At 42.1% G+C, this 16,553-nt stretch overlaps 1 protein-coding gene across 4 annotated transcripts in view, besides 1 other annotated feature; it reads left to right on the top strand.

Annotated features, from left to right (window-relative positions):
- The window catches only part of FAT1 (FAT atypical cadherin 1), a 138,903-nt gene that overhangs the window by 119,988 nt on the left and 2,362 nt on the right, over window positions 1-16,553 (top strand). For 2 of the 4 annotated variants that reach the window (NM_001440456.1, NM_001440457.1), the window contains exons 17-27: window positions 496-639; window positions 2,135-2,332; window positions 2,732-3,533; window positions 3,675-3,806; window positions 5,283-5,440; window positions 6,349-6,811; window positions 8,584-8,737; window positions 8,917-9,027; window positions 9,538-10,169; window positions 10,883-11,020; window positions 16,306-16,341. In NM_001440456.1, coding sequence (NP_001427385.1) covers window positions 496-639; window positions 2,135-2,332; window positions 2,732-3,533; window positions 3,675-3,806; window positions 5,283-5,440; window positions 6,349-6,811; window positions 8,584-8,737; window positions 8,917-9,027; window positions 9,538-10,169; window positions 10,883-11,020; window positions 16,306-16,341 — 2,968 coding nt within the window. The remainder of the gene's footprint in view (window positions 1-495; window positions 640-2,134; window positions 2,333-2,731; window positions 3,534-3,674; window positions 3,807-5,282; window positions 5,441-6,348; window positions 6,812-8,583; window positions 8,738-8,916; window positions 9,028-9,537; window positions 10,170-10,882; window positions 11,021-16,305; window positions 16,342-16,553) is intronic. The other 2 variants (NM_001440455.1, NM_005245.4) reach the window with 1 other exon arrangement.
- Window positions 2,395-3,594: an enhancer, noted in NCBI's record as "BRD4-independent group 4 enhancer chr4:187524269-187525468 (GRCh37/hg19 assembly coordinates)". NCBI's record gives its function as "activates an origin of replication core promoter dependent on BRD2, P300/CBP, MED14 and CDK7 cofactors, and independent of BRD4, by STARR-seq in HCT116 cells {active_cell/tissue: HCT116}" and the evidence as "EXISTENCE:reporter gene assay evidence [ECO:0000049][PMID:35650434]".

The following is a 16,553-nucleotide window of genomic DNA, read 5'->3' as shown; positions in this document are numbered from 1 at the left end:
GAGTGTGAAATTGAGGGGGAGGGTGATCTGGAGTGTCCTGAGGCATTGGAAATGAGTCAGCGCTAAGGTGCGGGAGGCAGCTCATGTCTGTCTACTTCCACTGAGAGCAAACTTGGGGCCCTAAGGAAGGCTGCTCCCATCTTACCGAAGCAACAGCATTTGAGATATGTTAACTTCTTGTCCTAATCATTTGTATTACTTTTATGTCTTAGTTTCTGTTAATAGAACTGCAAGATAAAAGACTTTTACAAAACAAGTACATATTTAAGAGGCATCAGAGAATCTAATCATTATTGGTAATTCTTGCTGTTGGGAAATGTGTATTACTTGCATGCACTCGTTTGTAGGAGATTAGGGCATCGCTCACAGGCAGGATGCAACAGATAGTGGTAGCTCACTGGGACCTGCCCGTCAGGACTCTCAGGAGGACACTCCTCATTGGAGCTCTGTCGGCCTTGTGAAAATGAACGTGCATTCTGTCTTTTGCCTGAAAAGATTTCAGGTTACACGCTCACGGTTCAAGCTTCTGATAATGGCAGTCCACCCAGAGTCAACACGACGACCGTGAACATCGATGTGTCCGATGTCAATGACAACGCGCCCGTCTTCTCCAGGGGAAACTACAGTGTCATTATCCAGGTGGGCTTCGAGTGCCAAGGTGGTCCTGGGGTTCTTTGAAATGAGCTTTTCCATTGGCCTCTGTTGCTTTTCTTTCTTATCCAAAGGTTTCTTTCTAGAAAAATGGGAAACGTAGAATTCAAGAAGTCGCTATCAGTATTAAAAGATGAGCATTTTAAAGATAAAGCCAAGCTTTTATCTCTTTCCTTTCCGTGCTTTGATTTTTGAGATATTCTCACTGTTCTAGGATTCCTAAGAGCTTATTGCTTAATCAGACCTGCTGCCACTGGTGCTTTTCCTCTGCCCTCTCCTCCCCCCTTGACCTTCCTCTTCCCTCTTGCTCTTCTTCTAGCCCCCAATCCTTCCTTCTCGCTCCATCTTCTACTCCACTTTCTTCACCCCACTCTTCTTCCTCCCTACTCCTCCTCCCTCCACCTCTTCTCCATTCCATTCCTCCTCCTTCTCTTCCTCCTCCCCACTCTTCCCTCCTCCCCACTCCTCCCTCCCATTCCTCCCCCCTCCCTCCACCTCTTCTCCATTCCTCCTCCTTCTCTTCCTCCTCCCCACTCCCCTCCCCACTCCTCCTCTTCCCTCCACCTCTTCTCCACTCCTCCTCTTCCTCCTCCCCACTCTGCCTCTTCCCCACTCCACCTCCTCCCCCAACCTCCTCCCTACTCCACTTCCTCCCCATTTCACTGTCTCCACTCTTTCTCCTCCTCCCTCCACCTCGTCGCCACTCCTCCTCATCACCCCTCCTCCTCACTACCCCTCCTCCTCCCCCTTCTCACTTTTCCTCCTCTTGTCAACCTCTTCTCTTTCTCCTCCCCACTCCTCCTCTTCCTTCCTCTCTTCCTCTTTTTTTTTTTTTTTTTTTCTGAGATGGAGTTACACTCATTGCCCAGGCTAGAGTGCAATGGCACGATCTCAGCTCACTGCACCCTCCACCTCCTGGCTTCAAACAGTTCTCCTGCCTCAGCCCCAAGTGCTGAGATTACAGGCACCCACCACCACGCCCGGCTAATTTTTGTATTTTTAGTAGAGACGGGGTTTCACCACGTTGGCCAGGCTGGTCTCGAACTCCTGACCTCAGGTGATCCGCCCGCCTCAGCCTCCCAAAGTGCTGGGATGACAGGCGTGAGCCACCGCGCCTGGCCTCGTCTCTTCCTTTTCTCCTCCAGTCCTCTTCTTCTCCTACACTCCTCCTCCTCTCTGCTCTTCCTCCTGTCCCCCACTCCTCCTCGTGTCTGCTTCCCCTCCTCCCTCTTCCTCCTCACACTCCCTTTCTTACCATGTTTCCTTCATCCTCCTTTTTCTTCCCTTTTCGCTACACCCCTTCTCCTTTCCCTCCTCCTCACCACCACACTCCCGTCTCCACCTTTCTTCTCTTCCTTTCAGATAGAGCAGAAAGGCTTTGTTTTGTATGTATTTTATATTATAGAAAACTCATGTGTCTGTCCCATATAGATTTGGCTGTGTTCCAGGATTTTTGTTTAATTTTGTTTCTAATCTTGTGCAGGAAAATAAGCCAGTGGGCTTCAGCGTGCTGCAGCTGGTAGTAACAGATGAGGATTCTTCCCATAACGGTCCACCCTTCTTCTTTACTATTGTAACTGGAAATGATGAGAAGGCTTTTGAAGTTAACCCGCAAGGAGTCCTCCTGACATCATCTGCCATCAAGAGGAAGGAGAAAGATCATTACTTACTGCAGGTGAAGGTATGAATGGCTTTCTTTGTGGTTTGGTTGTGGATTCATAGAGAAGAGCTGCTTGGCGTGGTTCCCCTCTTCTATTTGAACAGCTTACATTTCATACAAAAACAAACTTTCATAGAATTGCTGTCTTTGTTTTTTGCCATACCTTCCATTTTTATCCCGCTGTGTTTGAAGGAGCTCATTGTTGATTCTGTCATAGTCATTGACAGAGCTGGGTTTCAGTGTGAATTAGTGAAGTGCTATAAAGAAATTTGTCCTTTTCTTTGATACGTTTCTTGTGTGGAGAAATGAGTATCTACCAGTTAGTAATTTTTTGGGAACTTGAGTAATACAAATGTTTTTATTGAAGAAGTTATAAACAGTGCCATAGACAAAGGTGATTTTATTTTTCTTTTCTTGTAGGTGGCAGATAATGGAAAGCCTCAGTTGTCATCTTTGACATACATTGACATTAGGGTAATTGAGGAGAGCATCTATCCGCCTGCGATTTTGCCCCTGGAGATTTTCATCACCTCTTCTGGAGAAGAATACTCAGGTGGCGTCATTGGGAAGATCCATGCCACAGACCAGGACGTGTATGATACTCTAACCTACAGTCTCGACCCTCAGATGGACAACCTGTTCTCTGTTTCCAGCACAGGGGGCAAGCTGATAGCACACAAAAAGCTAGACATAGGGCAATACCTTCTCAATGTCAGCGTAACAGATGGGAAGTTCACGACGGTGGCCGACATCACAGTGCATATCAGACAAGTCACACAGGAGATGTTGAACCACACCATCGCGATCCGCTTTGCCAACCTCACTCCGGAAGAATTCGTTGGTGACTACTGGCGCAACTTCCAGCGAGCTTTACGGAACATCCTGGGTGTGAGGAGGAACGACATACAGATTGTTAGTTTGCAGTCCTCTGAACCTCACCCACATCTGGACGTCTTACTTTTTGTAGAGAAACCAGGTAGTGCTCAGATCTCAACAAAACAACTTCTGCACAAGATTAACTCTTCCGTGACTGACATTGAGGAAATCATTGGAGTTAGGATACTGAATGTATTCCAGAAACTCTGCGCGGGACTGGACTGCCCCTGGAAGTTCTGCGATGAAAAGGTGTCTGTGGATGAAAGTGTGATGTCAACACACAGCACAGCCAGACTGAGTTTTGTGACTCCCCGCCACCACAGGGCAGCGGTGTGTCTCTGCAAAGGTACTGCACATGAGTGTATGAAAGTCGGTGTCACAGATGGTTTCAGACGGCCTTTGAAGCCTTTGATGGCTATACATGAAAGGTGATGTTCTTGAAATGTCTGTTAATTATCTTTTCCCTTTCTCCCCTCTTTGAATGAAGAGGGAAGGTGCCCACCTGTCCACCATGGCTGTGAAGATGATCCGTGCCCTGAGGGATCCGAATGTGTGTCTGATCCCTGGGAGGAGAAACACACCTGTGTCTGTCCCAGCGGCAGGTTTGGTCAGTGCCCAGGTGAGAGTTGAATGGTTGGGTATACTTTTATTTTTAAAAATCGGTTTCATTGTTTCTTACCATTTTCTTCTTTATTGGAGTCTAAAAATATTGCAAAGTATGTTTATTGTAAGAAGACAGATGTGGAGATGAATAAAGAATGACAGTAGTAAGTTTTGCTTCCTCTTGTTACAGCACACCCCTTGGTTCATAGTTGGTGTCCCTCCTCCTGTGTCTTCAATGATTATATAGACATACAGCTAACAACGCAGTGCCATTATGTAGCAGTTTAATTTTCCTGGAAATTCAAGAGTGATCATATCTCACACAGTTCTCTCCCTGTTGCCTTTTCCCTCCACTTAGCAGTATGGTAAAGAGCACCTTTCGTATGGTTCCGAGCCAGTACCTTTAAACCTGATTCTTTTTGATAGCTGGATAATATTTTCTAGCATGGCTGTACTTATTCAACATTGTTCTTATGTGTAAAGATTCGAGTTGTTCTCTTTCTTTCAGATAAAGAAATCTTTATACATGTATCTTTACATACTGATGCGTTCATTTCTATACGGTGTATAGATTATAAAACTAGAATTTGCTATCTCAAACATCAATGACATTTTAAATTTTTTTGTATCACTATATTAGTTTTCCAAAAAGTCGTATTAATTTTTATTTCTCCCAGTTATGTATGAAGGTTTCACTCTCCATTCTTTTGACATCATTGAACATTTTCGATTATAAAACAAATTCCCCACCATCTATTTTATGGGTGTGAAGTGATATCTAATTATTATTTTAATTTGCATTTCTCTGGCTACTTTAAAAGTTTTCATCTCATTTGTTCATTTCCTATCAGTATTGCCTCTGCTGTGGCCTCTACCTGTTCATGTTGTTTGATGGTCTGGGTTATTTGTTTCTTAGTATCAATGTGTAGAGTTACTTGTGTATTAGGAGTATTAACATTCACAGTGTTGCAGTTACCTCTGTCTTTATATCATTTATATTGATGTTATCTTTTGATTTGTTAAGTATGCCTCTTGTCATTTTGAAATTCAATTGTTATTTAGTCAGTTCTACATAATTTTATGTAACAGTTGCCATCTGTGGAGATTGATGACATTTGCATCTTCTTTGGGGAATGGGGATTGTTTTATTTTGCTTGAGAAGGTTTCTTAAATCACCTTGAGGCTATGTATAACTATTTTCTGAAATTTTCTTCTAATAATTTTATACTGAACATTTTTATATTTAATCTTTCATTACTTTAGAATTCATTTCTCTGTGATGCAGTCGTCAAATTTATTCTTTCCAAACAGAGAGCCAGTCATGCTGGGCTTTTCATTAAGCAAATAGACGTTTTCCCACAGAATTGGATAGTAAAATGTTATCATCTTAAATAAAACCCTAAATCAGTCTCAAGGGGTGCAGGGGAGTCATACTTTAAAAAATATGCTTAAACTTGGTTCTGGTTTATTTTTTCCTCTGTGTGATTCACAGGGAGTTCATCTATGACACTGACTGGAAACAGCTACGTGAAATACCGTCTGACGGAAAATGAAAACAAATTAGAGATGAAACTGACCATGAGGCTCAGAACATATTCCACGCATGCGGTTGTCATGTATGCTCGAGGAACTGACTATAGCATCTTGGAGGTATGTTTCTCCACAGCGTTGCATCTTAGTGGAAGACTTTCAAACCATAAATTTCATTTTATATTCAGATTGTTAATTTGCACAGATAATAAAGTAAGTGAAATGGTTGAATTCCACATTTAAATAATTCATTGATGCCTGTACAAGTTTTAGACTTTGTGGGATGAAGAGCTCTTTTTGCCCTGCCATGACAGAGATTTAGGTCCATGTGACAGTTAACATTCAAACTCTAGGTGATGCCCCATTTTAATAATGTTGGCTGGGTGTGGTGGCTCACGCCTGTAATCCCAGCACTTTGGGAAGCTGAGGCGGGTGGATCACTTGAGGTCAGGAATTTGAGACCAGCCTGGCCAGCATGGCAAAACCTGCTCTCTACTAAAAATACAAAAAATTAGCCAGACTTGGTGGCGGACGCCTGTAATTCCAGCTACTCAGGAGGCTGAGGCACGAGAATCACTTGAACAGGGGAGGCAGAGGTTGCAGTGAGTTGAGATCACGCCACTGCACTCCAGCCTGGGCGACAAGAGTGAAACTGTCTCAAAAAACAAAAACTGTTACAGTTTATAGAGACATCCTACATGTGTTTCAAGTGTTATGTATCTTGCCCACCTTTTTTAAAAACATTATTCAGTTTTGACTTTTGATATTACCTAATGCTTATGTGTTCAGTTAATAGTTAATTATTCGCTTCCATGATGCTTTGTGGATGTGCATTTTAACTTGATATTCCTAAAAGACGCATTTTAATGATTTATACAGTGGACAAATGAATCTGTGCTCTGTAGTACTTAAATGTAAGGCCTAACTTCTACCCTCACTCCCTAAGCCCTCTCCTGTAGATTTGTGATCAGGTGCTCTCATTGAAGGTTCTATGAGAGTAATGTGAACAGTCATTGCTTTTATCCTAGATTCATCATGGAAGGCTGCAGTACAAGTTTGACTGTGGAAGTGGCCCTGGAATTGTCTCTGTTCAGAGCATTCAGGTCAATGATGGGCAGTGGCACGCAGTGGCCCTGGAAGTGAATGGAAACTATGCTCGCTTGGTTCTAGACCAAGTTCATACTGCATCGGGCACAGCCCCAGGGACTCTGAAAACCCTGAACCTGGATAACTATGTGTTTTTTGGTGGCCACATCCGTCAGCAGGGAACAAGGCATGGAAGAAGTCCTCAAGTTGGTAATGGTTTCAGGGGTTGTATGGACTCCATTTATTTGAATGGGCAGGAGCTCCCTTTAAACAGCAAACCCAGAAGCTATGCACACATCGAAGAGTCGGTGGATGTATCTCCAGGCTGCTTCCTGACGGCCACGGAAGACTGCGCCAGCAACCCTTGCCAGAATGGAGGCGTTTGCAATCCGTCACCTGCTGGAGGTGGGCTCCGTAATGTTGCCATCTTTAAAATGCTGCACGTGTGTACATTTAAGGGGAAGCTCCCCAGGTATTTTTTTATTTTTTTCTCTTTTGATTCAGATAATTTTGTCAGACACTGCAGTCAGTGTTGGAAGCGAGCAGCATCCCTCATACGGGGGCAGAGCTGGGTCTGCTGCCCTTCTGGTGCCCAGGCTGCAGGTACCACGGCTCCCACTGCTGAGCGCCTGCAGTGCCCTCCCAGTGCCCGAGCAGGAGGCACCTCAAGTGACTCAGAACTCTTCTTTAACTCCATAGTCATCGGCCCAGGGGAATTTAGAATTCGTACCGCTTAGCCCTTCTTTGTTATTTGTATCACCTTTTATCTAATGGCTCAGCGTAGGGGGCCTGCTAGATTCTTGCTGGCAATAATAGTTGGGAATATGATTTTCCAGAAGGCCCTGAATCCCTCCTGAAGTGTTGCCATATCTGTCTGTCTTGAAGCCCTGGCGTAGTGGGGTACTTTGTGTCTTTTGCACCCTGGACTCCTGTTAGGCCCACTTACCAATAATAGGGTACAGTTAGGAAAATGACAGTTGTCATACCAAATAGAGCTTGGTATAATGAACAGAGCAAAAATAATACTGTCATTAAGTGGGATTTCCAAAGCTTTGGTTTTCTGCTGTTCTCTCAGGGAGGTATATTTGCATTCTGTGTGCGTAGAGTGGGCCAGGCCATCCCCACAGAAACACTCTCATTTATACTGTGCTCATATTAGTTACACGTCCAAACCAGGTTAGCAAGGAGGCCGTCCTCATTTTGTCACTTAGGGATGAGGCTGAGAGAGGTGCTTTCCTGACATGCACTCCCATGGTCCCGAAGCAGGAGTAAAGGAGTATGGCAGCTGTGCCCTGGCTCCTAAAGGCCCTGGCCCAGGGCACCACAGTTCTTCATCCTGAGAAAAACCCACAGCCACGCCAGCTTTGGAGGGGCGGGGAAGCACTGTGCTGCGGTGTGCCCTCAAGGCAGGCAGTTAGAAGATCTGCCACACCACCTGTCACTTGACAAAGTGGAGTCGACATTCTTCGTACTGCTTTGAACAGATGTGATGATCTCCTTTCTTAAATCTTTACATGTTTGAGAGGCTGAGGCAGGAGGATCACTTGAGGCTAGAAGTGAGGCAGCCTGGGCGTTACAGGGAAACCCCATCTCTACAAAAACTTAAAAAATCAGCCAGGCATGTGGCATGCCTCTAGTTCCAGCTACTCAGGAGGCTGAGGTGGGAGGATCCCTGAGCCCGGGAGTTTGAGGATGCAATGAGCTGAGATTGCGCCACTGCACTCCAGCCTGGGTGGCAGAGCGAGACCCTGTCTCAAAAAATAAAAATATTGAAAGGTAATTTATAGTCTTCAAAGTGCTTTTCACATTCATTATTTTCTCATTTAATCCTTAAATGCTTGTGAATTGCAAATAAATTGAGATGTTAAGTGGTGCTGTCTACGTACATGGTCACTCAGGTAAAGAACTGTATTTTCCTCCTCTATATGTGTGACCTAGTGATCTTAATGCAGATTATGATGAACTAAAGCTAACTGAGTTCTCTCTTCAATTCTGGGTGTTTTGGTTATACCAGCAGTGGAAGGCTTGTTGATGTAGCCAACTTTTTTCCCAGAGAGAGTGAGAATTTTACGAGCTTTTACAGACCTCGGAGAATAAAGATAAAAAGCAATATAATTAAGACCAGGTTTCTGAGTCATTGAGTGATAGGACTTTTTTGTTCCTTTTTGCCGATTTAGGTTATTACTGCAAATGCAGTGCCTTGTACATAGGGACCCACTGTGAGATAAGCGTCAATCCGTGTTCCTCCAAGCCATGCCTCTATGGGGGCACGTGTGTTGTCGACAACGGAGGCTTTGTTTGCCAGTGTAGAGGATTATATACTGGTCAGAGGTATGTGTATTTTTCTTAACTTTCATAATCAATTGTAGTATAAAATTCTTAAACATATAATGGTACATGTAAAAAGTCTGCACGTTAATTTGCTAATGTGTTCTGTTTTGCTTTCTGTTTTGCTGTATTTATTTGCAATAGGATCATGAGGTTTATGTCTGTTTCTCCTTACTCTTCAGGTGTCAGCTTAGTCCATACTGCAAAGATGAACCCTGTAAGAATGGCGGAACATGCTTTGACAGTTTGGATGGCGCCGTTTGTCAGTGTGATTCGGGTTTTAGGGGAGAAAGGTAAATGGTTTCTTTCAAAATTTAGGTTCATACCTTTTCATAGCGTCATATTGACTGGCAGATGCAACAGACCTTCAGTGATTTGAACTACATTATGTCAGATTTTGATAATCCTCATATTGGCCCCTTATATAATTTATAATCTTTTCACTCTTTAAAATGAATTATCAAGCAGATGAATACAGTATATATAATACTTGAAAAAAACTAATGTTTAGCCAATGGGGTTGATGTAATAGTCTGTTGATCCTAGGAAAATGGCCATTAATATTGGCTTGATATGTTTCCTTCCCAAATATACATCAAAAGCATGCGATCACATGATTGGTTTCTCCACAGAAGGTCTTTTCTCGTGGTTGTCGACGTTACATTTTTTAGTTGTCTTTTATCTGGGTTTGATCTTCACATAGCTCATCAAGGAGGGATTAGTCTTCAGTCTCTAAGGATTGAGCCTGACATACGCTGGCGTATGCTACAGAGGTCTCTCCTCATTCCTGACTTCCTTGGCAGGTGTCAGAGTGATATCGACGAGTGCTCTGGAAACCCTTGCCTGCACGGGGCCCTCTGTGAGAACACGCACGGCTCCTATCACTGCAACTGCAGCCACGAGTACAGGGGACGTCACTGCGAGGATGCTGCGCCCAACCAGTATGTGTCCACGCCGTGGAACATTGGGTTGGCGGAAGGAATTGGAATCGTTGTGTTTGTTGCAGGGATATTTTTACTGGTGGTGGTGTTTGTTCTCTGCCGTAAGATGATTAGTCGGAAAAAGAAGCATCAGGCTGAACCTAAAGACAAGCACCTGGGACCCGCTACGGCTTTCTTGCAAAGACCGTATTTTGATTCCAAGCTAAATAAGAACATTTACTCAGACATACCACCCCAGGTGCCTGTCCGGCCTATTTCCTACACCCCGAGTATTCCAAGTGACTCAAGAAACAATCTGGACCGAAATTCCTTCGAAGGATCTGCTATCCCAGAGCATCCCGAATTCAGCACTTTTAACCCCGAGTCTGTGCACGGGCACCGAAAAGCAGTGGCGGTCTGCAGCGTGGCGCCAAACCTGCCTCCCCCACCCCCTTCAAACTCCCCTTCTGACAGCGACTCCATCCAGAAGCCTAGCTGGGACTTTGACTATGACAGTAAGAGCCACTTTTTCATCTCACTAAAGTGTCACTTGAGATAAACAGTGAGGTTACAAATTCTGTCCAGTCAAAATGTGTGTACTCTTCATTAGAGACAAGTATGCTCAGACTGAAATCCGTATGATGATTTGAAACTTTTTTGGATGTCCCGATTGCTGGGTTAGCATTGTGGCTTTGATGTTATTTTAATTAAGAAATTGAATCTAGTCATGTTTAGTTAATATTCTGGAGAGATCATTTCATTTTATAATTGATAAAGGTTCTCATCTATAATTTTTTGAGTTTATTAATATGTCAAAAAAATAATCGGGAGCATTTTCATGCTAGGATTTTTAAAAATATGACCTGGCGAAGTGGAAATATTTATATTAGTGACCTAACATATATTTGATGCTTTTTTCTTTTAAAGCTGTACATACTATTTTAAAACAAAATTTTAGCAGCCTTTACTGTCTAATGATACCCATAGGCATGCTTATGGGCGATTTCTACTCTATGAATAATCTCTAAGATGATGTGGAGGTCTTTCTGTGCAGGGGTTTTTTATTTCTTCGTTTGAGTTTGTAAGGTGTTTCTGTTTTTCTTTCAGTCATTCATTTATTGAGTAAATCTCAGGCCATCGTTGGGTAATGCATGGTGTGTCTCAGGATTCAGCGGTGAACAAAACCGTCTTGGCCCATATACTTACTGTTTGTCATCCTTCCTTTTAGCAAAAGTGGTGGATCTTGATCCCTGTCTTTCCAAGAAGCCTCTAGAGGAAAAGCCTTCCCAGCCATACAGTGCCCGGGAAAGCCTGTCTGAAGTGCAGTCTCTGAGCTCCTTCCAGTCCGAATCGTGCGATGACAATGGTGAGGCAGCAGTGTGCTGCAACACTGCGCTTTGCTTGCTTGTTGTGTTACTGTGTTATCTCACAATGTAGACGCACTATCTACCCTTAAAGCCTCACCATATTTTCATTTTTCTTGGACCACTTTTAAACAATACCATACATACTTGCATGAATGTCTGCTGGGGAAAATAGCCAAACTGTTCTTAATGAATAGGTGTTTGAACTTGTCAGTAATAGAGAAGAACATATTCATTGAAGGATCTGATCGACTAATCTTATATTGGCTTTTTTTCACAACAGTTAATATCACCCCAGTTTTGTGGGTTTGTCAGAAATCTTCCTCGCAACTTTCTTAACCACGCAGCACGCACACAAACACACACTCTCTCTCACACACACACACACACACACCCCCTCTAAGAAGAGATGTGATAGTCTGAAATGTTCGATTTCAGTAGCACCTTGGGTATTACAAGGTTTTATTTGTCTCCTCCCCCAACCCCACTGCGGCCCCAGCTCCCATTTGGATCAGAGCGTACTGCCAGAGCACAGTTTAAGAGATTGCTAGTAAGTTTGATTATATTTCTAATGAAGAAAGTTTAACAGTGGGATCTTTGCCACCAGTTATGTTGATCTGGTTTCCCTATAGGGTAAATTGCATTGATAACTAGCTTTGCCATATTAACACATACCAGTAGAGAAAAACGTCAATATTCAGTAACACAATGTAGTTTTTAGTGGAAATTTTTGAATCTCAGAATTAGTAAGTTTAATGATAATTTTTATTGTATAAACGTAATACGTTTATTATTAAACATATTAATATGTTATACATTTCAAATATTTTATTGGTGGGAAAAGGTAACCCCACTAATAATTATTCAATCCAGAGTAATATAGTCCATAATACATCATATAGTCCATAAATCCATATAGTCATTATCTATTGCAGTCATTTTTCAAACTAAAGATAGCTATAAGTATGTGCTATCATTTCTGATTTCAAGTATATATATATATATATATATATACTTTCAAGTATATATATATATACACACTCTATTCCTAATCAACACAGGTATATTTTGATACCGTATATATGGTATCAAAATATACCTGTGTTGATTAGGAATAGGGTGTATGGACATAGCTTTGCTTGTTAAACCAACAAGATAGAATTATGTCTTTTATCAATTTTAATTCTAAGAAGTTCCTGTTTCCAGTTTATGTAATAATTTATATCTTGGCCCCTAAATGCTCTTTATAAATACATTTCAGAATTTTATCAGCATTTTCTTTCTAGTTCTTGTTGTTGGAACATCAGTCTTCTTAATAATAGTCCCAGGTGGCCGGGCGCAGTGGCTCACGCCTGTAATCCCAGCACTTTGGGAGGTGAAGGCGGGCGGATCACAAGGTTGGGAGATCGAGACCGTCCTGGCAGTGAAACCCCGTCTCTACTAAAAATATAAAAAAAATCAGCCGGGCGTGGTGGTGGGCACCTGTACTCCCAGCTACTGGGGAGGCTGAGGCAGGAGAATGGCCTGAGCCCGGGAGTTGTAGCTTGCAGTGAGCTGAGGTCACGCCACTGCACTCCAGCCTGGGCGACAGAGCGAGACTCTGTCTCAAAAAAAAAAATAGTCCCAAGTGCTTTCAATAAGTTATGGTCAAATTAGTTATGAAAACTAGCTTCCAGATAGTACAATGCAGAGAAAAAACATATATACAGGAGTGTTTTTATTTTACTCATTACCATAATGTAATTATCAGTTGTAAACTGAAAGTCTGCTGAGAGTCTGTTCCTGCGTCGTATTCCCGGTTTTCCAGGGCCATTACAGATTACCACAAACTTTGTGGCCTAAAACAATGTAGACTTGTGTTGCTGTCATTCTGTAGCTTAGAAGCCCAACCCCTGTGTCTCACAGGGCTTAAGTCATGCGATCAGTAGGGCTGCATTGCCTTCTGCAGCTCGAGGGAAGAACCTGTTTTCCTTCCTTTCCTGGTTTTTAGAGGCTGCCCACATTCTTTGGCTCTTGGTTTCTTCCATCTCAGAGACAGCAACACAGTGTTTCATTGACCACCCTTCTGTCAGCAGAGCTCCCCCCAGCCGTAACTGGGAACGCCTCTGTGCAGAAAAGTTACCCTTATGATTACACTGGGCCCACCCAGGTAATCCAGGGAAATCCCTCATCTCAATTTCCTTATCTGAACCGCGTCAACAAAGTCCCTTTTGCCATGTATAGTGACATATTCACAGGCTCCTGGGATTAGGACGTGGACTATTTGAGGGCCAGCCTTCTGCCTACCACATGCGTACATATTTACCTTGGCATAGTTATTTTAAAACAATCTGATACACAAATGAAAAGGGAATTTACACAGGAAACAGACGGACAGAGTCTCCTCCTATACTCGTACATTAGCTCACCAGCGATTAGTCCATCTGCAAACAGACGAGAAATTTGCAGGGAAAGCAATCAGAACAGGGACAAAAACATTCTTGTTTTAGATTGCATATGTTTCTCCTTCAATTTCTTTTTTTTGGGGGACAATGTGTGAGTGATTAAGCAGCCGGAAGAGTGGCGAACCACAGACTGTAGTCTTGGAATGTCGAGTCTTGCCTGTAAGATGTTAAAATAAGAATCGTTTTGGCCTGGCATGATGCATAATTGTAATTGTGAAAAAATTTAAAGCTAAAAGTTTTTTTGTTTAAATTCCAATAAAATATGTTTACGTTATTCCTTTGATTAATAATAACAAATATATAGCTCGATTAAAAAAGTCTCTGAGACACACAGCTAACAGTGAGGAGACCACGCATCATTATGTGGTTGTATTAAAGCACTCATCGGTTGGAATCTGAGGTAGAAATGGTATAATACAAAACTTTATTTCATGCACTGTTTTCTAACTAACTGAAGATGTTCCTAATTGACTGCTTTTGTACCTTTTTGCAAGCTTCCATAGTGACCGTAATGCACCTTGTCAATGCTGTGGTTGACACGGTGAGCACAGAAGGTACAGTTGTAAGTGCTCGTGCTTGTGTCTGTGTCTTGCAGCAGCCGTGTCGTAGAGCTCGGCCGCATTGCTATTGCAATGGTAGGAAAAAACAGTTTGTGGTTTTGAGGGGGTTGAGTCCTTTTATTTTATGCAGGTGTGTATATACGTAATATGAGTGCTTTGCAAAAAATATCTCAATGTATGTTATGTCTTTGTTCCTTTTTACCATTCATAGTGATTTACATGAGATCTGGAGAGCTTATCTGTAGGTGGTGCAATCAAGAAAAAGTTCAGAAGTAATTTTACCTAAAATTTTTTTGAAACAAAAATTCTTCTTCGTATGTACAGGAATAAGACTTGAATAATGTAAAGCTTTCATAATTAACCTGTAACTGACTCTTCACTTTTGGTTTTTCCCTGAGTATGATCAAAGAAAAGGGTGTAGAGCATGGTAAAAGAATATTTTCATATTTGGTTTAGTGAAAATTATTTAATGTGAAGCTTTATCTGCTCAGAGTTGTAAGAAAGGACATTGAGCACCTTCCCCAAATTATTTTAAATTAAAATAGCCCTTTATTAGTGCACTGAAATTCATCACATGGGGAAGACACAGGCTAGTACTTTTCAAACTGTAATGTGAATCAGATCATCTGGAGGGCTGTTAAAAGCCCAATTGCTGGTTCTCAGCACCAGCATTTCTGATCCAACAGGTCTGGGTTGGGACTTTAGAATTTGCATTTTTCACCAGTTCCCAGGTAGCTCTGATGGTGCCGGTCTAGAGATCCCACTCGAGAACTGCTTACAGAGGCCATCGAGTACACAGACGTCATCATAGAGTTCGGGGGATCCTTTATGCTAGGACATGATGCTGTCAAGGTTCAGGAGGAGGGAGGATAGCTCTGGGCCCCATTTGCTATCAGGCAGAAGAGGCTTAGATACTCCAGTGTTCATGGTTATAGTTACTGATGACGCCTACACTTCTTTTCCTAAGAAGTACCATGTTTTCACTGGGCAAATCAGAAACATACCTGTATTTTGTCTAGTGAAGTTTTAGTGTTAAACTGATGACCTTCAGCATTTTAAATATTATTGAAGCTTATAGAAGCAGAATTTCAACAGTTCCTTCATTGCAGTCTCCTTCATTGACAAATATTTTTTGGCATATCCAAGAAGTGCACATGGAATTTAAAGTTGAAAGCTATTACTAGTGCCTACGTAACAAAAGTTGTTGATCTTTTTTTGTTTAAAGGAATTGCTGCTTTTGTTACTAGACTTAAAAATGATTCTGTAGATACATGTTACCTAAATGCCGGCGTATTCATGTTTTAGAGACACCACAGTCTTTTAAAATTACTGAAATTTCTAGAAGTGAACTATCAATCAAATATTTGTCCCAAATTATAACACTGTTGAATGCATAGAAAGCCTTGTTTAAAAAATCACGGATGTGACCGTTTTTCTGCTGTGATGTCTACTTTCACAGTTATTGATAGTTTCTAACAGTGCTTAACCTGCATGATCCTGTTTAATCCTCATAACAACTCTAACGGATTTTCACCCCATTTCAAAGAGAGAACCTGAAGGTTAGCCAGGGCCTGGGCAGGCGTCTCATGGCCCTAACTGATAGTGGGATTTACATGCGTTTGGTTACACTTCCTGCTGGGCTTCTGTGTATAGATGCGGGGCCCTGGCAGGGCAAGTGTAATTACAGACATGGGGTAAGTGTAGCCGTGGTCTCTTTAGGGAATGGCTCACAGTGTCAATATTAAAGCATATTCAAAATACATACAGTTTGGAGAGATCTTCAGCTTGTACATCTGTCTTTAAGTATCTAAGTTTGCCTATGAATTCCTCTGAATTTAATGTCCTTTGAAGTTGCAGTGTGCTATAAAGTGTGTGCATTATGTAGCTGTAGATGTATTTGGATTATCACCTATGTAATCTGATCAGTTTATATTTTATTAGAGCCTGTTTGTTTTGTTTTCATTATTCCTAAGGAAATTCTGTGTTTTCAGGCTGTGATTGTCAGAAACAAGGAAAAGAAAGTAATATTTGAGTTTTCTGGCCAAATTTCTGGTTCCTCATTCCGCAGTCACTTTCCTCCACTTCCATATTCCATTTTATTTGTGGTACATACATTTCTCAGCCATTTGGAATTGTCATAGATACTGGCGTAAGGACATGCTGTATGGCTGATTGGGCCTCTGTAAGCAGTTTTCATTGTTCTGTGTACTTACCTTTATTGCCTTTTCAGCCGACTGTTTTAATTACAAATGTTTTCTTTTTTTTCTACTCTGCCACCAAAAGAATCTTTGGCTGCTCCTGACCTCAGCAAACCAAGAGGTGACTTATGCATGCCAGTTATTCATTGATACTCACTAAAAACAATGGGTCAAGCCTTGCCCCAGTGCTGACTGACTACGCTGGGTCGCCCAGTGTTTGCAGCAGTAACTAAGTACACGGCTGCATGTGTGTGCGCATTGCATTTGAAGCACGGATTGCCTAACCTTCTCCCGCCTCTCCAAGGATTTTTTAAATCCTAAGGAGGAAAAAAA

This window comes from Homo sapiens, chromosome 4, assembly GCF_000001405.40.
Source record: "Homo sapiens chromosome 4, GRCh38.p14 Primary Assembly".
NCBI classification, from domain to species: Eukaryota; Metazoa; Chordata; class Mammalia; order Primates; family Hominidae; genus Homo; species Homo sapiens.
This window is presented reverse-complemented; position numbering and strand designations above follow the sequence as displayed.